The 27160-nt window shown below is 46.5% G+C and overlaps 1 protein-coding gene across 4 annotated transcripts in view, besides 3 other annotated features; it reads left to right on the top strand.

The window, feature by feature from the left end:
• The window catches only part of MARK2 (microtubule affinity regulating kinase 2), a 71911-nt gene that overhangs the window by 11797 nt on the left and 32954 nt on the right, over positions 1-27160 (top strand). The gene's annotated exons all lie outside the window — the stretch shown is intronic.
• Positions 18821-19040: an enhancer, noted in NCBI's record as "active region_4876". NCBI's record gives its function as "activates an Ori minimal core promoter by ATAC-STARR-seq in GM12878 lymphoblastoid cells {active_cell/tissue: GM12878}" and the evidence as "EXISTENCE:reporter gene assay evidence [ECO:0000049][PMID:35858748]".
• Positions 20940-21049: an enhancer, noted in NCBI's record as "active region_4877". NCBI's record gives its function as "activates an Ori minimal core promoter by ATAC-STARR-seq in GM12878 lymphoblastoid cells {active_cell/tissue: GM12878}" and the evidence as "EXISTENCE:reporter gene assay evidence [ECO:0000049][PMID:35858748]".
• Positions 24351-24852: an enhancer, noted in NCBI's record as "H3K27ac hESC enhancer chr11:63642729-63643230 (GRCh37/hg19 assembly coordinates)". NCBI's record gives its function as "activates a minimal SCP1, AML or CMV promoter by ChIP-STARR-seq in primed H9 embryonic stem cells {active_cell/tissue: H9 hESC(primed)}" and the evidence as "EXISTENCE:reporter gene assay evidence [ECO:0000049][PMID:30033119]".

Raw genomic sequence — 27160 nt, forward strand, 5'->3', positions numbered from 1 at the left:
TCCCGCATTGGCCTCCCCAAGTGCTGGGATTACACACTCAGCCATGTTCCTTTCTTCAAGTACGGTATTGACCCTTTGGCCACAGGAGAACGTGCCCAGTTTTTCTTAAAGACCACGTGGGAACTCAGCAGCCCATGATTGTAGGTTCCTTTTTCCCTCATAGAGTGGCCTTCAAGGGCAGGTTCTTGTTATCTGCGTTTCAGAGACCCAAAGGGACACAGGCATTTCTGCTCCTGGGAATTTGCGGACTTTGAATCTTGAGCTCAGATTTTGGTCTCTGTTGGTTGCTTGTTTATCTTCATCTCTTGTCATTTCTGGAGCCTGCATGCCTTCTCAGAGCAGCAGGTAAGTTGCTTAGTTTTTTCACATTGAAGCTGTGGCTGGGGGAAGGTAACAGTGTCCCCTCAGAACTCATGGAGATGCCAGGCATAGTGGAGGCTGAGGCAGGAGGGTCACTTGAGGCTGGAGGATTGCTTGAGGCCAGCCTGGGCAACATGGTGAGAGCTCATCTCTAAAAAATTTTTTTAAAAATAACTCATCAGGGGCTATTTCTTTCATTGTATTTTCCTCTTCCTTTTGAACCCCTCTGCTGACTTGTTTCACTTTCTTTTTTTCTGTTTGGTTTCTTTGAACTCCCTTTCTTCATTATCATGTCCTCATTCCCGTCCATCTTAGGTTTTTCATTTCCTTGTTCCACTCTCCCTAACCTGTTTCTGTGCCCTGTTTATGGCATGGCTCAGGATATGAATTTTGATCTCCGTCTGAGATCTCCTTCAGGTATAGAATCCCAGACCACCTGGTCCTTTTGTTCTCTCATTCCTCTGATTTCTGTACATTTAAGGATTCACTGCTTTAGAAAACTTTTTTTTTTTTTCTTGTTTCTGGAGCCACCTCTCTCAGTAAAGCCAGGCTTGGCAACTTATTAGGGACAGCATTCTGGTTTCCCTGGTGACAGGGTTTAAGCTGATTCTAGGCTGTTGCCTCTAACCCATCAGGAATGCCATAAGTATAGACCCTGTCTTGGGAGAGATCTGGAGAGATACTTGAGAATTTTGGACACTGTAATATTGAATTTGGTTCTAATTGTGATCTAGAGACCCTCAGACTCTTTCAGGTGATGCACGAAGTCAAAATTCTGTTCATAGTAACGTTAACACAGTGTTGCTTTTTCACTCTCATTCCCTCACCAGTATACAGTGGCATTTTCCAGAGGCTAAATGATGTGTGGTAACATCACATTCTTCTGGCTAATGAAATGTGTAATTCTGTATTCTTGTGTTTTCTATAATTTTTAAGGTAGTACTTTAAGGTAAAAATATGGAAGTTTTCATTGATGGACTCAGTTTGTTCTTAGTACTTCTGTGCTCTTACTAGGTTTCTTCAGTTATAACTGCTATCATCTTTTTGTACACTTCATTACTGTCTAATAAATCCTTATTTTGAAATCCCAGCATTTTCCTGGAACCTTTGAGAAAATATAAGAAGTAAGTACTACTTGTAAAACTTGCTTGTAAAAACTTTTGGGAAAACTCCTAATTTTAAAAATTTTATTGACAACTTATTTTAGCACTTTATTCTAAAATAGAAAAAAATTTATATTATTTCTCTTATATGTAAGGGTGGATTGTTGGCTTAAAAAAGGGAGATTAGAAGACTTGCTTTTTCAACCCATAGCTGCAACTTGTATGTTAAAAATACTGAAGTGGACATACCAACAAGTATAAAGGAGGACTTTAAAGAATCTGGGCAGAACTGTAAATAAGAACTAAAAAAAAAAAAAAAGAAAAGAAATGAAAGTGTAATGAAAGCTACCTTCTCAGTTTCATAAATGTTCATAATGTACCTTACTGCGTCTTATGCGACAGAACATTTTCATGTAGTATTATGGTACCAGTTAAGTTGTGGCATTCTTTCAAGATCATTTAGAGTTTAAAGAAAAAGGAATTGCATATTTTATGCGTACGTACTATGAGCTCTTTAAAAGCCAAAATTTCTTCCAGTTTTTAAACTAGAAATAAAAAAGTCACTGAAGCCTCTATCTAACAGGATAAGTTGCCACATTGCTTTGGCTGGAAAAGCCCACACAGAAACTGAGAGACGAATGAAGTCTTGAACAGCTGACATTCCTGAATGCCCACTGGATGAAAAGTCAGTAAAATTCAAGGCAGTGCCGCTTTAAATGTTACCAGGATTCATTAAATTAAAGATTTAGCCAGGCGCGGTGGCTCATGCCTGTAATCCCAGCAGTTTGGGAGACCGAGGCAGGTGGATCACCTGAGGTCAGGAGTTTGAGACCAGCCTGGCCAACATGGTGAAACTCCTTCTCTACTAAAAATACAAAAATTAGCCAGGCGTGGTGGCGCATGCCTGTAATCCCAGCTACTCGGGAGGCTGAGGCAGGAGAATCGTTTGAACCCAAGAGATGGAGGTTGCAGTGAGCCGAGATCGTGCCATTGCACTCCAGCCTGGGCGACAAGAGCGAAACTAAAAAAAAAAAAAAAGATGTAGCTGCACACATGAAGACCAAGTTAATATCTTATTTACAGAATTTTACTTTCACCTTACAAATGAGCAAATCTATAGATGTGGCTCGACTTGCTGTATCAGCACCAACTGCTCATCAAAGAATAATTTATTTTATGTGAATGCTCAGCAGCAGATACAAATGGTGATAAATATTCAAAGGGTTGAATAACTTCCTGAATCTCATGACTTATCCTGGAACAACTTTATTTCCATTTGCACCCTTGGTGCAGAAGCAGTGGTGGAGAAAACTGCTGACGCCGTAACATGGATCAAGGAAGTGGCACTAAGCTCTACTAGTGGTCATTGTCATGGTCTTCTTTCCCACCACAAACTTGTGGTTGAAAAATAAAAGCCATTTTTACTTGAGAATGTCTTGAATGAAGGATTAAAGACTATCATTTTTTTTATTTACTTATTTATTTATTTATTTATTTTAATTTTTATCTATTTATTTTTTTGAAACAGAGTCTCACTCTGTCTCCTAGGCTGAAGTGCAATGGCGTGATCTGTGCTCACTGCCACCTCTGCCTCCTGGGTTCAAGTGATTCTCCTGCCTCAGCCTCCCAAGTTGCTGGGATTACAGGCACCTGCCACCACGCCTGGCTAATTTTTGTATTTTTAGTAGAGACAGGGTTTCGCCACGTTGGCCGGGCTGGTCTGGAATTCCTGACCTCAGGTGATCCACCTGCCTCGGCCTCCCAAAGTGCTGGGATTACAGGCATGAGCCACCATGCCTGGCCAAGACTATTAATTCTGTGTGTGTGTGTGTGTGTGTGTGTGTGTGTGTGACAAGGTCTCACTGTGTCACTTAGGCTGGAGTGCATTGGTGCAACCTCCGCCCACTGCAACCTCTGCCTCCCGGGTTCAAGTGATTTTCTCACCTCAGCCTCCCCAGTAGCTGGTACTACAGGTCCGCACCACCACGCCTGGCTAGTTTTTCTATTTGTTTTTTTTTTTTTTTTTTGGTAGAGACAGGGTTTTACTATGTTTGCCAGGCTGGTCTCAAACTCCTGACCTCAAGTGATCCACCTGCCTCAGCCTCCCACAGTGCTGGGATTACAGGCATAAGCCACCATGCCCAGTCTTTTATTTTATCAACCCTTTAATAAAGGTCTCTTTAGGCCAGGCATAGTGACTCACGCCTGTAATCCCAACACTTTCGGAGGCCAAGGCGAGTGGATCACCTGAGGTAAGGAGTTCGAGACCAGCCTGTCCAACATGGTGAAACCCTGTCTCTACTAAAAATACAAAAATTAGCTGGGCATGGTGGTGGGTGCCTGTAATGTCAGCTACTCGGGAGGCTGAGGCAGGAGAATTGCAGTGAGCCGAGATCGCACCATTGCACTCTAGCCTGGACCAACAACAGCGAGACACCATCCCAAAAAAAAAAAAAAAAAAAGGGTATTCCAAGTGAGGAAATACAAAGTATTCATGAGGCATTGCTGCTGTATGCCAAACTTGAGGAAAGCACATGTGTTGGAGCTGAACCAGCTGCAGGGATCATAATTTTTTCTTGAAAGAACAACTGATGGACAAACTAGAGTTGTTCATATGGACATTTTATGAAAATGAACAAAGTGAGCCTGTCATTGTTGCCAGTGATAAAATTCAAGTTTTCAAGTGAAAATTAGAATTTTGGAAAACTTGTGTCTGCTAAAACTTTTCCGAGATTGGTAGTAAAATTAATGAATGTGATTTTTTGACATTGTGTGAAACGTCAGTGTTTGGAAATTCTGCACAATTCAGTGAAGAAATATTTTCCAGATTGCTAGTGGGTAAAAGAGCCATTCAAAGTGCAGGACGAGGCCAGGCATGGTGGCTCACGCCTGTAATGTCAGCACTTTGGGAAGCTGAGGAGGGAGGATCGCTTGAGGTCAGAAGTTCAAGACCAGCCTCTGCAACATGGCAAGACCTCATCATCTCTGCTAAAATGTTTAAAAAATTAGCTAAGCATGGTGATATGCACCTGCAGTCCTAACCACTCAGGAGGCTGAGGCGAGAAGATCTCTTGAGCCCAAGGTCAAGGCTGTAGTAAGTTGTGATTGTGCCACTGTACCCCAGCCTGGGCAACAGAGTGAGACCTTATTTCAAAAACAAAAAAAAAAAAAAACAGTGCAGGATGACTAATGTAAAAGTATATGAAATGTTCCTTGATAAAATTTCAGGTTCCACATTGCAACTAGCCTTTAAAAACTACCACTTGTTGAATTTTGGTGTAGTATCAAAGAAGAAAATCCTCAGTATCTGAAAGGCTGTTGAACTCTATTTTTCAACTACATGTCTCTGTGAAGTGAGATTTTCTTCATATGTTTCAACCAAAACAACTTATGAAAACACATTGAATGTGGAAGCAGAGAGAAGTCAGCTGTCTTTCATTAAGCCAGACATTAAAGAGATGTGCAAGAATGTAAAGCACTGCTACTCTTGTGGTGAAATTTCATTTTGTTTTGGAAAATACAGGTTTTTTATTTTAAAAAGATTATTAGCATAAACATGTGGATTTATGATCTTGAATGGATTAATAAATATTTTTTAAAATTAGTTTCAATTTCTAATAAGATAGCTGTGTAGTCCTCAATAATTTTTTAAGCATATAAAGAGTTCTTGAGACCAAAGGTGAGAAAACCACGGTAGCAGACAAAACATGGGGCCCTTGTCTTGATCGGTTGGTTGGTTACTTGCTTTGACTTCATAAGGAGCTCTTGTTTTGCTGGTTCCCAGCCCCAGTATAATCCCTGCCTGGGCCTCAAAGAGGCATTCAGTACTTTGGTTTGCAGTCCTTCTGGTTCCAGAAGCTAGTTCTCTGTGATGTGAGGGACTTTGACCAAAGATAACTGATTTCCTCCTTCTGATACATACACCACTGGCCCTGTGGGTTTTTTTTTTTTGTTTTTTTTTTTTTTTTAAATATATGGCTTGTTTATTCTTTTTCTCCCCTTTTTTCTTTATTTCTTAAATTTTTTTCTCATTTTCCCTTTTAATTTCTTTATTGTTGGTTTATTTATTTTGAAACAGAGTCTTACTCTGTTGCCCAGGCTGGAGTGCAGTGGCGTGATCTCAGCTCATTGCAGCCTTGACCTCTCCAGGCTCAGTTGATCCTCCCACCTCCGCCTCCCAAGTAGCTGAGATTACAGGTGTGCGCTACCACACCCGGCTAATTTTTGTATATTTAGTAGAGACAGTGTTTCGCCATGTTGGCCAGGCTGGTCTCGAACTCCTGGCCTAAGTGATCCGCCAACCTCGGCCTCCCAAAGAGCTAGGATTACAGGTATGAGCCACTGCAACCTGTCTTGTTTTTTATTTTTCTCATTTTTTTCCATTTTTAAATTTTTCATGTTTTTTTTTTTTTTTTTTTTTTTTTTTTTTTTTTTTTGAGACAAAGTCTCTCTCGCTCTCTCGCTCTCTCACTCTCTCGCCCAGGCTGGAGTGCAGTGGCGCCATCTCGGCTCACTGCAAGCTCTGCCTCCCGGGTTCACGCCATTCTCCTGCCTCAGCCTCCCGAGTAGCTGGGAGGGACTACAGGCGCCCCCCACCATGCCCGGCTAATTTTTTGTATTTTTATTAGAGATGGGGTTTCACCGTGTTAGCCAGGATGGTCTCGATCTCCTGACCTCATGATCCGCCCGCCTCGGCCTCCCAAAGTGCTGGGATTGCAGGCATGAGCCACCACGCCCGGCCTAAATTTTTCAGTTTTTATACTCATTTCCTTTTTGTTCGTTTTCTTTCTTTAATTTGTTAGTATTTGTTGTTTTTTGAGACAGCCTCACTTTATCACCCAGGGTGGAGTGTGGTGGCACGATGTTGGCTCACTGCAACTTCCACCTCCCAGGTTCAAGCAGTTCTCCTGCCTCTGCCTTCCCAGTAGCTGGGATTATAGGCACTTGCCACCAAGTGATTTTTGCATTTTAGTAGAGACGGGGTTTCTCCATGTTGGTCAGGCTGGTCTCCATGTTGGTCAGGCTGGTCTCGAACTCCTTACCTCAGGTGATCTGCCTGCCTTGGCCTCCCAAAGTGCTGGGATTACAGGCATGAGCCACCGCCCCAGCCTGTTTTTTGGTCAGCTGTTTTGTTTTGATTGCATTATAAGATTAGTTCATCAGGTAGACTTCCTTTGGTATATATTTAGTTGTGGTTTGGAAAATAAGTTTTTTATTAAAAATAAGTCATTTATGTTTACATGTAATGAGTTTACTCATGTTCTGTTAAATGAATTGATACATATTTAAATTTTTCCTCACTTGAATTTCTAATATAGTAAATACTGATAGATAAAATTCATATAAACAAAAGCTTCTGGGTGTTCAGTTATTTTTCAAAATGCAAAGAGTCCTGAAACCAAAAACTGTAAGAATCATGGTTGTAGACAAAACTTGGTTTGGTTCTCCATGACTTTGGTTGATACATTTTTTTTTTATTTTTTTATTTTTTGAGACAAGTTCTCATTCTGTCACCCGGGTTAGAGTGGAATGGCATGATCTCGGCTCATTGCAGTCTCAACCTCCCAGGCTCAAGCAATCCTCTCATCTCAGCCTCCCAGAGTGCTGGGATTATAGACATGAGCCATTGTGCCTGGCTATATTATCATCGTTATTATTGTTTTGTTTTGTTTTTTGAGATGGAGTTTTGCTTTGTCACCCAGGGTGGAGTGCAGTGGCACCATCTCAGCTCACTACAACCTCTGCCTCCTGGGATCAAGCGATTCTTGTGCCTCAGCCTCCCAACTAGCTGGGATTACAGGTGCACAGCACCACACTTGGCTCATTTTTGTATTTTTAGTAGAGACAGGGTTTTGCCATGTTGGCTAGGCTCCTGGCTTCAATTGATCTGCCTGCCTCGGCCTCCCAAAGTGCTAGGATTACGGGCATGAGCCACTGTGCCTGGCCCTGTAATATAATTTTACATGAGTTAATAGTGTAACATTTTCTCAGTTGTAATTTTTTTTTTTGAGACAGTGTCTCACTCTATCACCCAGGCTGGAGTGCAATGGCACGATCTCCACTCCCTGCAACCTCCCAGGTTCAAGTGATTCTCCTGCCTCAGCCTCTTGAGTAGCTGGGATTACAGGCATGCGCCACCACACCCGGCTAATTTTTGTACTTTTAGTAGAGATAGGGTTTTCACCATGTTGTTCAGGCTGGTCTCGAACTCCTGACCTCGTGATCCACCTGCCTCTGCCTCCTAAAGTGCTGGGATTACAGGCCTGAGCCACTGTGCCTGGCCAGTTTTAATTTTAATACAATAAATATCAGTAGCTATCACCCACATGAAGAAAGCCATTTGACGTCATCAGTAAGAGTAAAGGGATTCCAGACAGTGTGAGAACTCTTTTGTAAACAGAGATAGGACTGATAATCCCTGTCCTCGATTGGTTGATTACTTGCTATGACCTCATAATGAGCCTCTGTTTTGCAATTTCTGGGGCCCTGGCTGGGCCTCAGGAAGGCACTTGCTGTCTTGGTTTTCAGTTGTTCTAGCTGAGGAAGCTGGTTCTCAGTGACCTGATGGACCTTGGCCAAAGTTGGCTCATTTCCTCCTTTGAATACATAGCATTACTTTATGTTTTTTTATTCCATTAAAAAGATCATTTGGCTTACTTGGATTTTATTATGAGGTTTGTGTTTTATTATGAGGTAGGTTTGTGTTTTTTTGTTTTTTTTTTAACTTATATGTTGGCTATTGGTCAGTTCCAAATTTGAAAACTGCAACGCTTACACAGCTTCTATCCTTGAAGAACCTTGGTGCCTACAATAGCTGAGAGCTGGTAGGCTGCAGTCACTAAGGCCAGACACTCAATAGTCTATTCCCTGGGTGGCTTGAGACCTGACATACTTTGTTTCTTTTTGTTTCTTTTCCTTTTGTACTTGACTCTTTTTAACCTGTTTATTTCTTTTTTTTTTTTTTCCCCGAGAAGGAGTCCTGCTCTGTCACGCAGGCTGGAGTGCAGTGGCACGATCTCGGCCCACGGCAACCCTCCGCCTCACAGGTTCAAGCAATTCTCCTGCCTCAGCCTCCTGAGTAGCTGGGATTGCAGGTGCCCGCCAGTATACCCGGTTAATTTTTGTATTTTTAGTAGAGAAAGGGTTTCACCATGTTGGCCAGGCTGGTCTTGAATTCCTGACCTCGTGATCCACCCACCTTGGCCTCCCAAAGTACTAGGATTACAGGCACAAGCCCATGCCTGGGCTAACCCCTATTTCTATCTTTCTTTTTTTTTTTCGAGACAGAGTCCCACTCTGTCGCCCAGGCTGGAGTGCGGTGGCCGGATCTCAGCTCACTGCAGCCTCCACCTCCCAGATTCAAGCAAATCTCCTGCCTCGGCCTCCCGAGTAGCTGGAACTACGGGTGCGTGCCACCATGCCCGGCTTATTTTTGTATTTTTAGTAGAGACAGGATTTTGCCATGATGGCCAGGCTGGTCTTCAACTCTTGACCTGGTGATCCACCTGCCGTGGCCTCCTAAAGTACTGGGATGACAGTCATGAGCCACCACATCCGGCCTCTAACCCTTGTTTCTTAATGAAACATACCTGTAAACCCCACTGTTATGTAGGTATACTTTATTTTTCCTGTAAGAGGTAGGTTTATTTGGAGTGTTTGTAGCAGTGTGTGAACTTTGTATTTCCTTGACAAGTCCTTAAGTGACAGGGAAAATTGTAGTAGTATATAATCTGTAAACTACCCTGTAATTCTCAACTTTGTTCTTTTGCATATACTCATTCTCCAATTTCCATAGCACCTCTAACTTTTAACAGCTTCCCTAAGTCCTACAAATAATAGACCTTGGGCCTCCTCTAATAGTCACTTTGACCAACTTTAAGCAAATCTTTTAAAACTCATGTCGGCTGGGTGCAGTGGCTCACTCCTGTAATCCCAGCACTTTGGGAGGCTGAGGCGGGTGGATCACGAGGTCAGGAGATCGAGACCATCCTGGCCAACATGGTGAAACCCCGTCTCTACTAAAAATACAAAAATTAGCCGGGCGTGGTGGCGTGCGCCTGTAGTCCCAGCTACTTGGGAGGCTAAGGCAGGAGAATTGCTTGAACCCAGGAGGGGGAGGCTACAGTGAGCCGAGATCATGCCACTGCACTGTAGCCTGGGTGACAGAGACTCCCTCTCAAAAAAAAAAAAATAAATAGAAATAAAAAAGCCAGGCACAGTGGCCCACATCTGTAATCCCAGCACTTTGGGAGGCCAGGGCGGGTGGATCACGAGGTCAGGAGTTCGAGACCAGCCTGGCCAATATGGTGAAACCCCGTCTCTACTTAAAATACAAAAAATTAGCTGGGTATGGTGGCGCGTGCCTATAGTTCCAGCTCTTCAGGAGGCTGAGGCAGGAGAATCACTTGAACCCAGGAGGCGGTGGTTGCAGTGAGCATAGATCACGCCACTGCACTCCAGCCTCGGTGACCGAGTGAGACTCCATCTCAATGAAAAAAAAAAACAAAAACAAAAACTCATGTCATTTGCTCAGAATCACATCTCATTGGAATCATTTTTTTAAAACTGTTTAATCAAGTGCTCAACATATCAATTCGTGTCTACATAGAGGATCATAGCTCCATTTCCCATCACTCAGCAAGTCCCATAATCTGCTTTTTCCACAAAGCGTATTTCTTTTCAGATTTACATGTGGCATGCATTTCAGTTCCAGAATTGAACTTAATGTGCTATTTTCTCTCTTCGGCTACTGGTCTGTGTGGAAGATAAGGAACTTTAATTTCGGGTTGGGTGCAGTGGCTCACGCGGGTAATCCCAGCACTTAGGGAGGCTAAGGCGGGCGGATCACGAGGTCAGGAGTTCAAGACCAGCCTGGCCAAGATGGTGAAACCCCATCTCTACTAAAAATACAAAAAACGTAGCCAGGCGTGGTGGTGGGCGTCTGTAATCCCAGCTACTCTGGAGGCTGAGGCAGAGAATTGCTTGACCCCGGGAGGTGGAGGTTGCAGTGAGCTGAGATCGCACCACTGCACTCCTGCCTGGGCGACAGAGCGAGACTCCGTCTCAGAAAAAAAAAACAAGAATTTTAATTTCAAATATTTGTTTACTGTATTAGTTAAGGCAACGGCTTAGTAATGGCACCTCCTGGATGGCCCTGTAAGCGCATTAATCTGGTCCAAGTCATTGGGAAACTCAGCCTTAAAGGGAATGGACTGAGTGGTTGAAGAGTAGGCAGGGTCTCCTCATTTTTGCATGGTTTGCCTCTGAGGCTGTGTATCTTTAGCTACAGACAGAATAGCTAACATTTATTGAGCCCTTACTCTGTCGCAAGCACTTGTTTAGTTGTTTTACATTCATTAACTCATTTACTCTTTTTTTTTTTTTTTTTTGAGACAGAGTCTCGCTCTTGTTGTCCAGGCTAGAGTGCAACGGCACGACCTTGGCTCACTGCAACCTCCGCCTCCCGGGTTCAAGCAATTCTCCTGCCTCAGCCTCCCAAGTAGCTGGGATTATAAGTATCTGCCACCATGCCTGGCTAATTTCTTTCTTTCTTTCTTTTTTTTTTTTTTTTGAGACGGTGTTTCGCTCTTGTTGCTCAGGCTAGAGTGCAGTGGCACTGTCTTGGCTCACTGCAGTCTCCGCCTCCTGGGTTCAAGCAATTCTCCTGCCTCTGCCTCCCGAGTAGCTGGGATTGCAGGTATCCGCCACCATGCCCGGCTAATATTTTGTATTTCTAGTAGAGATGCGGTTTTACCGTGTTGGCCAGGCTGGTCTCAAACTCCGGACATCAGGTGATCCACCCATCTCAGCTTCCCAAAGTGCTGGGATTACAGGCATGAGCCACCATGCCTGGCTTCATTTATTCTTTGTAAGTTAGTAGATCTCACTGTTTTACAGGTGAGGAAATAGAGGCCCAGAAATGTTGAATAACTTGTTTAAGGCTACAAACCCAGGTGGTCCAGAGTATGTCATTGTCAGAACCAGCTTTTCTTGGTTGTGAAGAATCCTTTGTCCCTGGCTTCAGTTGTGTCCAGGCAGTAGAAGATAGTTTCCTTAGGATTAGCTCCCAGTCAGTGTGAGGCAGATGTCTTGCAGCGGAATTTAGAGTCACAAATGGCCTCCTCTGCCTCCAGTTGTTTCTTTTGTCCTTGGTGGCCATTGGTAAATGTGGCCGAAATGGTGTGGATGGAGTGGGAGCAGCTTTCTGGGCTCACCTCCCTACTATTGAGGGCTCTACGCAAGAGCTATGGGAGACCTTTTTAAGAAACCCTCTTTAACCCCAGCTTCTGATTCACATCTTTATCTTTTCCCATCTTCCGGAATTTCAAGAACCCCTTTAGAAAAACCAAAGCCCCGAGTCCTAAAATTGATAACCAGCAATTAAGTACCTTAAAGTGTAGGGCATGATGGATTTCTAGGTTTGACTATCCTGCTTTGTGGCACCCATGAAATGTTGGGATTCTAGAACTCTTTCTTTGTAAGCACCCCACTCCCCACCAAAAAAAACCCCACTAAACATAAGAAGCTTTTGTCTGTGGATCTTAACTGTGTATATTTTGTCTCTAGGAAGCAAACTCAGATTCTCTCTTACAACCGTCTGTGTGCCACTTGCACACACACAGGCACAGAGCTACTTGCTTGTAGCCTTGACTGCCAGCAGCCCTGAACACCGTAGCTGGTGGTGCCAGGCCTTGTGTGTGTTTAGGACTTGCCAGTTCAGTCCTGGGAGCTGAACTCTGGACATCCTGCTGTGTGTCTCTTTATCCCATCGCTGGTGTAATTTATGCCACTACTTCCTGTTTGCATTTGCTCAGTCTCTCCTTTGGTTTGCTTCTCTCTGCTGAAGCCGGTCCCCATAGCTGTGCACATGGCTAGCTATGGGGACTAGGCATCTAGATATTCTAGACATCTGCAGTTGTTTCTTAGTGGGAATGGTTGCTTTATGTCTCTCTACAGAATTTTAGTTGAACTTGAGTGTATGATTTAATTTACTTGCTTGTCTAACTTCGGCAAGGGTGCCTTTTATTTTAAGATGCCAGCATGGGGTGAGAGTAAAGGGGTGAACTATTGCCCTCCCCCACCCCCCCACCCCCCACCCCCCCACTTTTTTTTTGAGACAGGGTTTCTCTCTGCCACCCAGGCTGGAGTGCAGTGGCGCAATCTCAGCTCACTGCAACCTCTGCCTCCTGGGTTCAAGTGATTCTTGTGTCTCAGCCTGCTGATTAACTGGGACTACAGGCGCCTGCCACCATACCTGGTTAATTTTGTATATTTAGTAGACACAGGGTTTCACCATGTGGGCCAGGCTGGTCTTGAACTCCTGACCTCAAGTGATCTGCCTGCCTTTGCCTCCCAAAGTGCTGGGATTACAGGTGTGAACCACTGTGCCCCCCCGCCCCACACCACCACCACTTTTTTTTTGAAACAGGATCTTGTTCTGTCACCCAAGCTGGAGTGTAGTGGCCCAAACATGGCTCACTGCAGCCTCAGCCTCCTGGACTCACACAGTCCTGCCTGAGCCCCCTGAGCACCTGGGGACTAATAGGCACGTCCCACTACACCCAGCTAATTTTTTTATTTTTATTTATTTATTTATTTTTTTGAGACTGAGTCTCGCTTTGTCGCCCAGGCTGGAGTGCAGTGGCGCGATCTCGGTTTGCTGCAAGCTCTGCCTCCTGGATTCATGACATTCTCCTGCCTCAGCCTCCCAAGTAGCTGGGACTACAGGCGCCCGCCACCACTCCCGGCTAATTTTTTTGTATTTTTAGTAGAGACAGGGTTTCACCATGTTAGCCAGGATGGTCTCGATCTCCTGACCTCGTCATCTGCCTGCCTCGGCCTCCCAAAGTGCTGGGATTACAGGCGTGAGCCGCCACGCCCAGCCTATTTATTTATTTTTTGAGATGGAGTTTCACTCTTGTTGCCCAGGCTGGAGTGCAATGGCTTGATCTCGGCTCACCGCAACCTCCGCCTCCCAGGTTCAAGCGATTCTCCTGCCTCATCCTCCCGAGTAGCTGGGATTACAGGCATGCACCACCACCGGCTAATTTTTTTTTGTATTTTTAGTAGATACGGGGTTTCTCTGTATTGGTCAGGCTAGTGGTGGTCTTGAACTCCCGACCTCAGGTGATCTGCCTGCCTCAGCCTCCCAGAGTGCTGGGATTACAGGCGTGAGCCACCGTGCCTGGCTTTATTTTTATTTTTTGTAGAGAATGGGGTCTTGCTTTGTTGGCTAGGCTGGTCTCAAACTCCTGGGCTCAAGTGACTGTCACCCGCCTTGGCCTCCCAAAGTGTTGAGATTACAGGCGTGAGCCACTGTGCCTGCTCTGTTGCCCTTGATTAAGGTATCACTTAGGGCTGGATGTAGTCGGTGGCTCACAGCTGTATTCTCAGCACTTTGGGAGGCCAAGGTGAGAGGATCACTTGAGCCCAGGATTTTGAGACCAGCCTGGGCAACAAAGCAAGACTCCATCTCTAATATTAAATAAATAAATAAGATTTACTTATCCAAAAGCACAATTATGTGCCTTTTTTCTTTTCTTTTGAGACGAGAGTCTGACTCTGTTGCCCAGGCTGCTGTAGTACAGTGACGCAGTCTCGGCCTTGACCTCCCAGGCTCAAGCAATCCTCCCACCTCAGCCTCCCAAGTAGCTGGGACTACAGGCATGTGCCACTATGCCTGGCTAATTTTTTGCACTTTTTGTAGAGATGGGGTTTCGTCATGTTGCCCAGGCTGGCCTGGAACTCCTGGCGTCAAGCAACCTACCTGCCTTCGCCTCCCAGAGTGCTGGGATTACAGGCAGTCGCCATTGTATCCAGCCCAGTTATGTAGTTATGTGCCATTTCTAAACTACTTTAGAACCCATCTCTTTGGTGTTTGTTTGTTTGAGACAGAGTCTCACTCTGTCACCTCAGCTGGAGTGCAGTGGTGTGATCTCAGCTCACTGCAGCCTCGGCCCCCAAGGTTCAAGCGACCCTCCCACCTCAGCCTCCCAAGTAGCTGGGACCACAGGTGCTCTTTTTGTTAAGAGTGGAAAAGCCAAGGTCCATGTACTTTTTTTGAGAAAGACAGCCTGTTGGCTTTCTTCAGAGTGGTTCTGCCCCTTCCCGTACCCCATCTCCAACACATTTTTATCTCTCAACAGAGGTAGCTGCTATTCACTCAGGTGTTCTTTAATGCTGTGGCCACGGCTTCCTTGGAGAGTGTGGCAGTGCTTTCCTTGCTAATGAAAAGGCTGTCATAATGGGTTAGGTCCATAGGGGCTCTGCCCTTCTGTACTTGTATTCCCAGGGAGAAAAATCTCTACCTTAATTACCGACATCTCATGCTGGCAGAGAGGTGTGGTTGCTAATTGATTAGATGACAGTCCTTTTCATTGATGTGGCACTGTTGGGGTGGTTTTGTTGTGCTTTTTCAAGTAAACAGATAGATTTGGGCCAGGTAAGTTGATTTTGGAGAGATGAAGTTCTGTGTAGGGATTTCCCTTTATTAAGCTCATGTCTTTAGTGCCACTTTTGTGTCCTGATTTTCTAACTTGATAGTAAGAAGTACTAAGTTGGCTTGTCTTGCTATTTTGGTGTGGGTGGTGAATAATGTCTCTTCTACCCTGCTCTCTGGTGCGTTCCTGTTCTGTTTGGTAGCACCACATTCCTCTATTTCGTTTGGTTTTCATTCCCTCTTTCTCTCTTGTAATGGTTGGACCCTATTCTGAAATATATATTTTAAGATAGTGTTACTTTGGGTGGTCGAGGCGGGCAGATCACCTGAGGCCAGGAGTTCGACACCAGCCTGGTCAACATGATGAAACCCTGTCTCTACTAAAAATACCAAAATTAGCCAGGCGTGGTGGTGTGCATCTGTAATCCCAGCTACTCGGGAGACTGAGGCACGAGAATTGCTTGAACCCAGAAGGCAGAGGTTGCAGTGAGCAGAGATTGTGCCACTTTACTCCAGCCTGGGCAATAAAGCAAGACTCAGTCTCAAAAAAAAAAAAAAAAAAAGTAGTGTTTAAAAGCAAACACCCTGCCTTTCTTGAAACCACAGAAACTGCTTGTGAAACAGCCGATAGGGCAGGCTGCCAAATACAGACTGTTAAAACCAATCTCTTAATGACAAAATGTCAAACACTGATGTTAAACCTTCATTATGACTGTGGTGTGAGGATTTTTCTCAATAAGAAATGTTTAGGTGCTGAACTCCCAGTTTCACATTCAGAATGCTTCTATTATCAAATTCCTCTTGGTACATCATTTCCGAGAGGCTTGTGTAGCTAATCCACTATCTACTGTACAGGAAAGATTTTAAATAAACCTATTCCCATTCATCCTCATCTGTGTTTTTTTGTTTTTTGTTTTAATTTCAAGAAGTAATTTTCTTTTGAGGTGATTTGGACCAACCGTCTCACTAGCTTTTCCCATTTAAGATAGGAGAACTAGATTCAGAATTGTGTCTTTTTCCTAACAGAAGACTGGGGCCTTAATCTTTACCCCCCAGGCTCTGATTAACTGACTTTTCTTTTTTTAGATGGCATAGAATCTTCTGTCTGTCTAGAGAATTTTGTTTCTTGCCAGGCACTGTCAGGAATTAGTATTCATTCCTCCCTGCTATCTTCCTGAAGAGCTGTGAACCTGCTGGTAGCCTGATGGATAAGGGTACAGTTGTTTGTTTATTTATTGAGACAGGGTCTCATTCTCTCACCCAGGCTGGAGTGCAGTGGCATGATCTTGGCTCACTGCAACCTCCGCCTCTCAGGCTCAAGCTATCCCCCAACCTTAGCCTCCTGAGTAGCTGGGACCACAGTCATGTGCCACAACACCCAGCAAATGTTTTGCGTTTTTTGTAGAGACAGGGTTTCCCCATGTTGCCTTTGCTGGTCTTGAACTCCTGGGCTCAAGTGATCCGCCTGCCTCAGCCTCCTGAAGTGCTGGGATACCAGGTGTGAGCTACCACAGTTGGCCAAGGTATAGTTTTATGAGCTGAGCTATAGAACTGGTTGAATGGGAATTAGGGAAAACAGACAACCAATAATTGGGAAGTAAAGGAAAAATATATAAGTGTGCCTCCTTGGTCACAGCTAGCCTTGTGACATTGGGGTTTTGGATATAGAACTTCAGGAATCCCTTCCACCTCCTTCCCAAGAGAATTTCTTCTGTTGGTGTTGTAAGGGGCTTTTTCCAACTTCATTTCCATTACCAAGAGTCTTGAGTGGCTTTATTTTCAACTTGGGTTTTTTAAGCGCTTCTCATGTCACCTTTGTTTGTGTACTGGGCCTGTCTCAAGTTTCCAGAGGGAGATGAAAGACAAGAAAAGCTAAATGACTGGTTCTTCAGTGAGTTTCCCAGAGTGGCTTCTTCTCATTCCAGCACTGCCTAACTCTCACCATGGCTGACGCCGTGGGCAGGCATCCGCATTCATGGAAAGCCAGGTCCTAGCTGGAAGTGACACAGGGATCTTCAGATCTCTCTTAGCCCACTGTTCCTCTGAAAAAAAAACAAAAGCCATAGACAGTAAATTGGGGGAATAGGCTGACCATAACTTCAGTTCGTGGATTTGGGTCCCACACTGGATTGTGTGATTTGTGCTTATCTCCTACTAGATTGTTACCTTCTTTGAAGGCTGGACTGTATCTTATCCTTCTCTGTATCACTTCGGACACCCAGAAACTGTTGGAGTACTTTGCACATGGTCACCTCTTAATGAATTATTTGTGAAACAAAAATTTTTTTAAATTGTAACATGAGGCTGGGTGTGGTTGCTTAGGCCTGTAATCCCCGCACTTTGGGAGGTAGAAGTGGGCAGATTGCTTGAGTCCAGGAGTTTGAGAACAGCCTGGGCAACATAGCGAAACCCTGTCTCTATAAAAAATAGAAAAGTTAGCTGGGTGTGGTGGTGCGGGCCTGTAGTCCCAGCTCCTTGGGAGGCAGAGGTGGGAGGATTGCTTGAGACCTTGTCTCAAAAAAATAAAAAAAAATTACTTAAAAAAATCGTAACATGGGTATTCTCCATTACAGTTACCCTTAGGGAAGTGTGTCCATATTGATTTGTAAGTCTGATATCAGTCTATCTGATTCTTTGGCTGTGTAAGTCACAAGTCTTAACCAGTATCTTAAGTAGGTGTGGTAATGACTACAGAGAAGTGCTTTTTCAGGATGAGAAGATGAGGGAGAAAATTTACACCATTGCTGGATTGTGTTAAGAACTCGGAGAGGAAACCACAGGGAGGATGCACTGCTGAGGAAATCGTCTGGCTTCCTGGAGTGGGGACCAGAGCCAGAGAGCCAAGCCCTCCTGGCTTTGCTGAGTTCTGTCCTTGCCCCTGACACCAACGTGTCTGCCTGCGTTGTTGCTCCTGGTTACAGTGGGCTCAGTCTTGCCTCTTTTTTGATGGGTGGGCAGAGGAACACTAGTGTTGGGAATATTGTCCAGCGTTGGAGAGATCATGTGGTCTGTCAGAAGGCTGGAGTTATTTATAGTGGGAGAAAAGCCCAGGAGCATGGCACGGGAAGAACTGATTTCACACCAGCTCAGCGCCTGATGATGGTGAGGACCCAGATTTTCCTTTGAGCATCTCAGAGCAGATCAGTCGCTTTTCCTGATTGACCCATGAACTGTGAGACTAGGGACCATGTTTTCCGAGGCCACTGTGAGTGAGGGAAGAGTGAGAAGGATGACCATTTTCTTCTTCCTTGATTCTGGTCTTTGTGATGTGTGGTATGAAAGTGTCATCTGACTTTTGAATCTCCTTTTATTGAACTGGTGAAGAAGGCACCAGCTGTGTGGGGTGGTGGAAATAAGGACCTGTTAAACTGGTCTGCCTGTATCTGCCTCCCTGCTCCCCCCTCACCCCACCCACCCCCACCCTGGGCAGGGAGGCTGAAACTGCTGCTTGCTAGGCTTTGCCAACTCAGTTTCTCTTCATGGATTACCTGCTCGCGGCAGGCAGGCAGGCAGCTCCCCACCTGGAAGCCTGCAGACTCGCCGAGCTGAGAGAATCATGCTGCAGGTGGGGGCAAGTGCTAGGAACTAGGTGTGCCACTTACCTTAACAGGAGCTGTGCCTAGTCCGGGCTGCTCAAACTAAGGCTGCAGAGCCCTGGGGCCTGTTGGAAATAGACTGTGCCTTTCCCTGCGCCTTGTGGCCACATTTTTATGGTATGTGGAGAGTCTGGGAGGGGCCGGGAGCTTGTAAATTGTGAGTAAATGAAGTCTAGGGAGGGAGATGATCCTTCTTGAGGGCACCCTGAGTTCAGGGTTGTCATGTTTCTGAGGTGTGCTACTGCTTAGTACCCTGATTTCTGGAGTTGTCTACCTAGGTTGCTTTTAATTTTTTCAGCCTTAGGTGGAAGAGATTTTCCATCTTGGTGTTTAGGCATGTTAGGTGAGGTTTACTTCCGGAGCCAGACTTTTAGGCAGGTTGTCTTGACATAAGTCAAGGTCAGGAAGCGATCTTCAGGACATGCAGACGATGCCCACTTCCTGCTGTGGTCTTGAAGAGGGCTGGAAGGCTTGTGAGCACAGAGGCACTGAGGGCTGTCGCATCCATACAGGAAGACACTCAGGGCTCGTCTCCGGTGCCTCATTTTATAAGCATGGAAACAAAAGTCCCAGGAGGGTGAATGACTTGCCCAAGGTGACATAAATTGTTTGCGCAGAGCTGGGTCTAGAATGGATCTTATGCCCTTGGCAGCGTGCCCCCATTGCCATCACTTCAGAGGGGCTGGCTGCAGCCCTCAACGGCAGAAGGCAAGCTGGGAAAGGACAAGTGGAAGGGTAGCAGGCCCCAATTCTGCACACTGGAGAGCACCTCTGAAATCCTGCCGGAGACTATGCCCATAGAGGTGCCAGAGGCCCTAGGGAATGATGATTTATTTTGTATTTTGTATTTTTGTGGAGACAGGGTCTTACAATATTGCCCAGGCTGGTCTCAAATCCTAGGCTCAAGTGATCCTCCCACCTGGGTTCCCAGAGTGTTGGGATTGCAGACATGAGCCGTGGCGCCCGGCTGGGAATGATTTAAAAGTCGGCACCAGCATTCTAGCCCTGACCCAGGCTAAAAGGGGTCACATGGAGCAGAGCTGTGCAAAGAGCTTTTGGGTGAGGAGTCACTCCGAGAAAAGCGAGAAGACTCTGACCCCGAGACTTCCCGTGGTGAGTTAGGAAAGCATTTCTGGAGAGCCTGTTAGGTGCCAGGCACTGTGGCTGGGCACTGAAGACACGAAGTGATTTAGTCTTGGAAATTCCCTTATGCTGCTCTCAGTCTGTGTAATAGTGAACAAGACAGCCAACAAGAGTTGTGAAGGAGGCCGTTCAGCAAGCAATGAAGTGCTAGTGCAGGAAGGCCCGAGCTGGGAAATGTCCGGAGAGACCCTGTGAAGTGATGCAGGGATCAGGAAAGCTTCCTGGTGGAAGCAATGTCTGAGCTGAGGCTCACCACAAAGAGGAATGGGAGTGACTGCTAGAGGGAAAGTGTTCCAGGCAGTGGAAAGCTGTGGCCAAGACCTGGGGGGGTCTGAGAGGCCATTGTACATTTGAAGACAGGTGGCTGGAACCCAGAGTGAGACTCTAGGAAGGGAAGAGAGTTAGTCTGGAGCTGCAGGCAGGGAAGGGGAGACAGCCAGCTCATAATACAGTGTGGGCAAAAATCCAGAAACCATGTGGATCTAATTTGATATCAATTTTACATGTATATGTGTATATACCTACACACACATACATAAAATCAGTTATGTTTGTGTGTGTGTATATGCATATTTGTGTGTGTGTGTACGTGCGTGCATACAGAAAGTTGTTTTTTTAAGGCATGCTTTAAATACGAAGCCATCACTTCCTTTTCCCAGTCCTGGGTGCCTTTTGAGATGAGTGTTGGTGCTCCCCCCACCGCCATGTGCCATCTTCTGGAGTAAGAGGGAGTGCTTTCACTGTGTGCAGGTGTGGCTAAAGAGTATTCACTGTGTGCAGGTGTGGGTGAAGAGTATTCACCGTGTGCAGGTGTGGCTGAAGAGTATTCACCGTGTGCAGGTGTGGCTGAAGAGTATTCACCGTGTGCAGGTGTGGCTGAAGAGTATTCACCGTGTGCAGGTGTGGGTGAAGAGTATTCACCGTGTGCAGGTGTGGCTGAAGAGTATTCACTGTGTGCAGGTGTGGCTGAAGAGTATTCACTGTGTGCAGGTGTGGGTGAAGAGTATTCACTGTGTGCAGGTGTGGGTGAAGAGTATTCACTGTGTGCACGTGTGGCTGAAGAGTATTCACTGTGTGCAGGTGTGGGTGAAGAGTATTCACTGTGTGCAGGTGTGGGTGAAGAGTATTCACTGTGTGCAGGTGTGGGTGAAGAGTATTCACAGTGTGCAGGTGTGGGTGAAGAGTATTCACTGTGTGCAGGTGTGGGTGAAGAGTATTCACTGTGTGCAGGTGTGGGTGAAGAGTATTCACAGTGTGCAGGTGTGGGTGAAGAGTATTCACTGTGTGCAGGTGTGGGTGAAGAGTATTCACTGTGTGCAGGTGTGGGTGAAGAGTATTCACTGTGTGCAGGTGTGGGTGAAGAGTAGGCTGTCCAGGATTTCAATCCTTGGCTTTTGCTCTGCAGCAAGGGCTGGCTGAGGGCACTGTGAGGCTTCTTCAGGCCCAGGAGTCAGGCCCACTTTCCCTTTTCTCTTGAGGGAATGACTCAGAGAACACTCCTGCCACCGGAGGTTCTGCAGGCTTTTGAGAGGCAGCCAGTGGAGGCTGATGGTAGCAGTTGGTGAGAAAGAGGAAGTATGTAGTGGCCATTCCTCCGGCCACTCCTGACAAATATTTCTGTCACTAAACAGCACCTCTCTGTGGCAGCCTTGGGCTGTGTTCTGGAAAGGGAGGAGCTTTCCTCTCCCTGTGGGAGGGCCTGTCATCTGTGGCTTCTGCTTTGCCCTTGGCCACAGACTAGATTGCACAACACAGCCAATGAGAGTCCCTCTTCCCTCACAAGTGCTTGGAGTGCAGACCTTAACTTACAGGGTTGTAGAAGTGACCGTGTTCCACACTGCAGGGTCCAGGTCACAGCCGGCAAAGCACATGAAAATTGACCTAAGGTTAGAATGTGATTATCCTACTGGGAAAGGTTTACTGGGACAGCATTTCACTTCTGACTCCATAGGCTGTCGTCTCCTGCCAGGGAGTGAGTTTTGTTTCCATGCTTGTCCAGTCTTTACTGCTTTCCCAGAGGCCATAAACCTGCCTTTTCCCAGAGGCCATAAACCTGCCCACCTCCTGCTATGTTCTAGTTCTGATAGGAGTACCATTCAGAGTTCTTGGCAGGGGACCAACCCGCTTCTACCGTGGTTGGTTTCCCCTCCTTTTCCCAGCTTGTTTGATGTGCACGTTCTCCAAAATTCTTATGCAGCTGGTTGGCTCTGTAGTGCCCAGAGATTGGAGCTCCTGCAACGGGAACCCCGCCGCTTCCCTCCCTGGTTTTAGGGGCAGGGCTTGAAAATAAAGAATCATAATCTCCCTTCCTCCTCCTCCTCCTCTCCCCCACTTCTCCCTGCCCCCACCCCCACCCCCACCCCCACCCTGCCAGGCAAACTGGAGTGACCAGCTCAGAGCGGGACTCAGTCCACCTCCCTGCTCTGCATGTCAGCAGTGATCTGGAGGAGATTCCGGGGCGCATGAGTATGTGAACTCTGGAGCACGTTACTGTCCCGGGCTGGCACTCTGTGGCAGGTGTGTGCACTCATTCTGCTGTTACTGGAGACCAGTCTCCTTAGGGGTGATGGTGACCCAGCTAGATGTCTGCCAGGTCTGTCCAAGGCCACCCTGTTCTCTAATAGCTTGGGAAATGGAAAGCACTTCTAAATACCCCTGCTCTTCAGAAGAGCTGGCTGGGTGGTTTGGGGAGTTTCTTCTTTGAATCTCTTAGAGTACAATATCCCTTTTTTCCCGAAAGCCAGGTTCTTTAGTTCCTAAGCTCCATTCTCTTGTTGCTAACTTACTACCTTCAGTTTTCTTAGGTTGGGTGCATCTTCCCTGGCCTCAACAAGACAGTGGCTGAAAGGTCAAGAGAGTGGTAGCTGCTCCTTTGAGAGAAAGGGGATGTTGGAGTGGGAGCACAGGCTGCCAGCAGTTGTTTCACCTTCCCCCTTTGGCTGGCTAGGAAAGGGGCACCACTTTAGTCTTCTGCCAACCTCCACAGCCAGCTGTGGGAAAACCCAAAAGGAAACATCCTCTCGCTGCTAAGACTTGAGAGCCTGAGGCAGAGACCAGCCAGTAGCAGCCCGACCCTGCTGAATGGGGAGGATTGTTTATTTTATTTTATTTTTTTCTGAGACGGAGTCTTGCTCTGTTGCTCATGCTGGAGTGCAGTGGCGCGATCTCGGCTCGCTGCAACCTCCACACCCCAGATTAAAGCGATTCTTCTGCCTCAGCCTCCCGAGTAGCTGAGACTGCAGGCATGCGCCACCACGCCCAGCTAATTTTTGTATTTTTAATAAGAGACAGAGCTTCACCATGTTGGCCAGGCTGGTCTTGAACTCCCGAACTCAGGTGATCCGCCTGCCTCGGCCTCCCGAGGGACTGGGATTACAGGCATGAGCTACTGTGCCCAGCCTGAAGATTGGTTATTTAGGGGCTGTGACAAATGGTTTTGCAGAGGAGCACTGGAAAGCCTGTAACTTCACAGAGCCAGGGGTCAGCTTTTGTGCCATAGCCTTATAGCTTCTGTGGCCTGTAGTGCCTGAGGCCAGGGGATCAGGTGCTGACCACCTTTCCCTCTTCCTTCCTGTGTCTTGCGGCCAGCGACTGTTATTGTCAGGTTGACCCTCTGGTTAGAGAGGATGACTTTGGCCTGGTGTCCAGACTCCCTGCTGCCTTATCCCCTCTGCCCTGGAACTGCACCTAAAAACAATTACTTTCCTCCTGATTCCAACATAAGTGGTCACAGAAAGTTCTGTTTTGGCATTTTGATTTCTGATTGGGAGTTTAGGCATCTGAGAATTGAATGCTTGCTTTATACAAATATACCCTTAAGACATCTCCTCTTTTTTCAGCCCTACATGCTTTGCTTGGGTATTAATTGAACTTGGGGCTTTTTAGGGACCTTATGTTGCCTACCTTCCTAGTTTCCCCTCCACTCCACCCCCAAAAAACCCAAAGAACATTGGAAAAATTGAGCAGTGCCTCAAGGTCACTTGATCATAAGTGGTATTTGGCATAGTTAACTGGTTTGGTGTTTGGTGAGAGATTTCTGCTTTATATTTGAGCAAAAAATTTCTTGGCGGGAGGCCTCTATGCTGTGTTGCCAATGCTTGCCCTGTGCGCAGGGTTTGCCCCCTCCCCTCCCTTGACAGGTTGTTCTAATCCCCTTGTCTATAAACAAGTGCAGCAGAACTTGTCGGCCCAGCTCACATGACCTTGGTTATCTCTTTAACCAGCATCAGCGTTAGATACCACGGTCACTTGACATGGTAGAGCTGTCAGGGTAGAGTGGAGATACCAGCAGGAATCCTGGTCCACGAAGAAAGGTAAATGGGAGTGTGTGTGAGGCCTTAGGACTGGGTGGGAAAAGTCTGTTCCCATGGGGTAGGGCTTTCAGCTGTGAGAAGAGGATAATTTCATTCCTTCTCCTTTTTTAAGAGACTGTCTCACTCTGTCGCCCAGGCTGGAGTGCAGTGGTCTAATCAAGGCTCACTGCAGCCTCAACTTCCTTAGCTCAAGCAATCCTCCTGCCTCAGCCTCCTGAGTAGCTGGGACCACAGGTGCATGCCACCATGCCCAGCTAATTTTTTTTTTTTTTTTTTTTTGAGGTAGAGTCTCACTCTGTCACCCAGGCTTAAGTGCAGTGGTGCGATCTCGGCTCACTACAGCCTCAGCCTCCCAGGTTCAAGCGATTCTCCTGCCTCAGCCTCTTGAGTACCTGGGATTACAAGTGTGTGCCACCATGCCCAGCTAATTTTTATATTTTTAGTAGAGATGGGGTTACACCATGTTGTTCAGGCTGGTCTGAAACTCCTGACCTCGTGATCCGCCCACCTCAGCCTCCCAAAGTTGTTGGGATTACAGGCGTGAGCCACCACGCCCAGCTAATTTTTCTTTGTTGAGATGGGGAATCTCATTATGTGGCCTAGGCTGGTCTCGAACTCCTTGCCTCAAATGATCCGCCTACCTCAGCCTCCCAAAGTGCTGGGATTACAGGTGTGAGACACTGTGGCCAACTTTCATTCCTTCTTTATCACCCTAAAATTTCTAGTTCTGGCGTCTTGTTTATCTTTCTCAAATCCTGTCTGCAGGGGCCCAGGACATGCAGCTGTTTCAGGAAACCGCCCTTGAGATGGGGCAGATGTATGCTAGTTCATGGGCTATAAAACTCAACACCAAAAATCCCATCGTCCTAAACAGTGACCTGTTATGTTGTGTGAAGGACAGTGGCGATGGGGGCCTGGCCGCCAGAGAGGCTGCTGGATTCTATGGCAGACACACTCAGGAGCTGGAAGTGTGGCTAAGCTTTCAGCAGCACCATCACTTCCCTCCCCATACACATGCACACAGGTTTCCTTTGTCTCACAGCTGAAGAGGCAGCGCCCAGCTTCAGTAAGCACTGTGTATGAGAATGGACTTACTCTGGCCACACTGTGCACACGCATGTGTGTGTAAAACACTGATCACATTTCCCATAAAGACTGTTGATTTGCAGAGTTTCCAGGCCCATACATCTAGGGCGGGATGTGTGTGTTTTCATCAGGGGAGAGTAGAGTGGCCTTTTGTGGAAGGGATAAAATGGTTGAGCTGCTGGAGACTTTTCTAGCTCCATTTATACAGCAGCCTTTCTGCCTGGGTGCAGACTTGAACCCAAGTCCAAGTTCAAGCCATGTGTGTAGATGACCAGAACTTAGCCTTCAAACTTAGCCTTCAACTTCAGGACTCTCCTGGAGAAAACATCCATCTCCTTTTGGAGATACAGAGAATTCGTGATGAGCTTTGAGTACAGAAGTTCAAGTTATATTTTCTGGCAACCTACAGAATAAGTTGGGAAAGGATATGTAATTATAGAAATAACCAGCATGTCGCCAGGCATTGTTGTCCGTGCTTTAGATGGTGTGGATATTTTGTAATTTCTGATTCTTTACCTACTGTTTTCAAGACTTGGTAGGGACCCCGTTATGGCTGTGGGGTTCTTTGTCCTTGGTAGTTAGCATGAACTATGTAGAGCAACAGAATGGGTAGCCGTGGCCTCTGGCCACCCAGCTAAATTCTACTGATGAGAGGTATCCTGGGTGGGTTTCTTCTTTGGGTCTTCGTTTATGCCGCCATTCCTATTGCCAGTTAGAGCTGCCTTTTAGGATTTGTTGGGTAGGAGCTGTATTCCTCTTGGAGCCATCTTTTCTTCCCTGCCATCTCTGAGTGAATTCAGAGGTGGAGAGCTACAGACTTGGCTGCTTGCCTCCTTCAAAACACCCAGCATTCCCTTGTCCACAGTCTGTGTAGCAGCACATCTAACAATGCCCAAAAGCGGCCCCCTTCCTCCCAGCCACTTGTTAATGGGTGGTTCTGGTTCCTGAGGGCTTCGACCAGTGCACGAGCTAATCTCACTGAAGAGTGCCATTCCCAGGTTCATACCACAGAAGTTAGAAAGCTCAAAGCCCAGGTCTTCTGCACCGAAGAGTGCCATTCCCAGGTTCATACCACAGAGGTTAGAAAGCTCAAAGCCCAGGTCTTCTGCTGCCTTGGGCCATTCCCTTCTCTTAGAAACCAGTTCAATCAGACTCTTTTTTTTTTTTTTTTTTTTTTTTTTTGAGACGGAGTCTTGCTCTGTCAACGAGGCTGGAGTGCAGTGGCATGATTTCGGCTCACTGCAGCCTCGACCTCCCCAGGCACAGGTGATCCTCCCACCTGGGCCTCCTGAGTACCTGGGACTACAGGTGCCCACCACCACGCCTGGCTGATTTTTGTATTTTTAGTAGAGATGGGGTTTCATCATGTTGGCCAGTCTGGTCTCGAACGCCTGACTTCAAGTGATCCGCCCGCCTCAGCCTCCCAGAGTGCTGGGATTACAGGCGTGAGCCACTGCACCCAGCCCAGACTCTTTTCATAGGATGCTGAAAGGATGAATTAAGTATAAAAAGTGCCTTTTGGCCAGATGCAGTGGCTCATGCCTATCACTTGAGAGGAGCTTGGGCAACATGGTGAAACCCCATCTCTACAAAAAATACAAAAATTAGTTGGGCATGGTGGTGGGCACCTGTAGTCCCAGCTACTCAGAAGGCTGAGGTGGGAGGATCACCTGAGCCTGGGGAGGTCGAGGCTGTAGTGAGCCAAGATCGCGCCACTGCACTCCAGCATGGTGACAGAGACCCTGTCTCAAAAAAAAAGTGCTTTTTAATAAGGTACACGTAATGGAAAATGGCTGTCATCTGGTTTGCCATACTCTGCTCCTAGGTAGAAAGTACAAACAGCAAGGGCCCCTTGGAGCAAAATTGTCATTGCCGCCAGTGAATAAACAGCAGTGGTTGGCTTTGAGGGGCACCTTCAGCCTAAAGCCATAAGCTGACATATACTCAGTCTCACTGAGAAGCTCGGGCTTTCCACTGTTCACCTAACTGCTGACAAATGAATCCTCCATTGATCTGGCAAGCTGGCCAGGATACCTGCCCAGGCCATGGCCACTTAGTAACAGGATCCGGTTCTCAGTGCAGGGTTGAGACTGCAGCAGCAGTGGCAAGCCCAGTAAGGCA

Source organism: Homo sapiens, chromosome 11 (genome assembly GCF_000001405.40).
Source record: "Homo sapiens chromosome 11, GRCh38.p14 Primary Assembly".
Classification (NCBI taxonomy): Eukaryota; Metazoa; Chordata; class Mammalia; order Primates; family Hominidae; genus Homo; species Homo sapiens.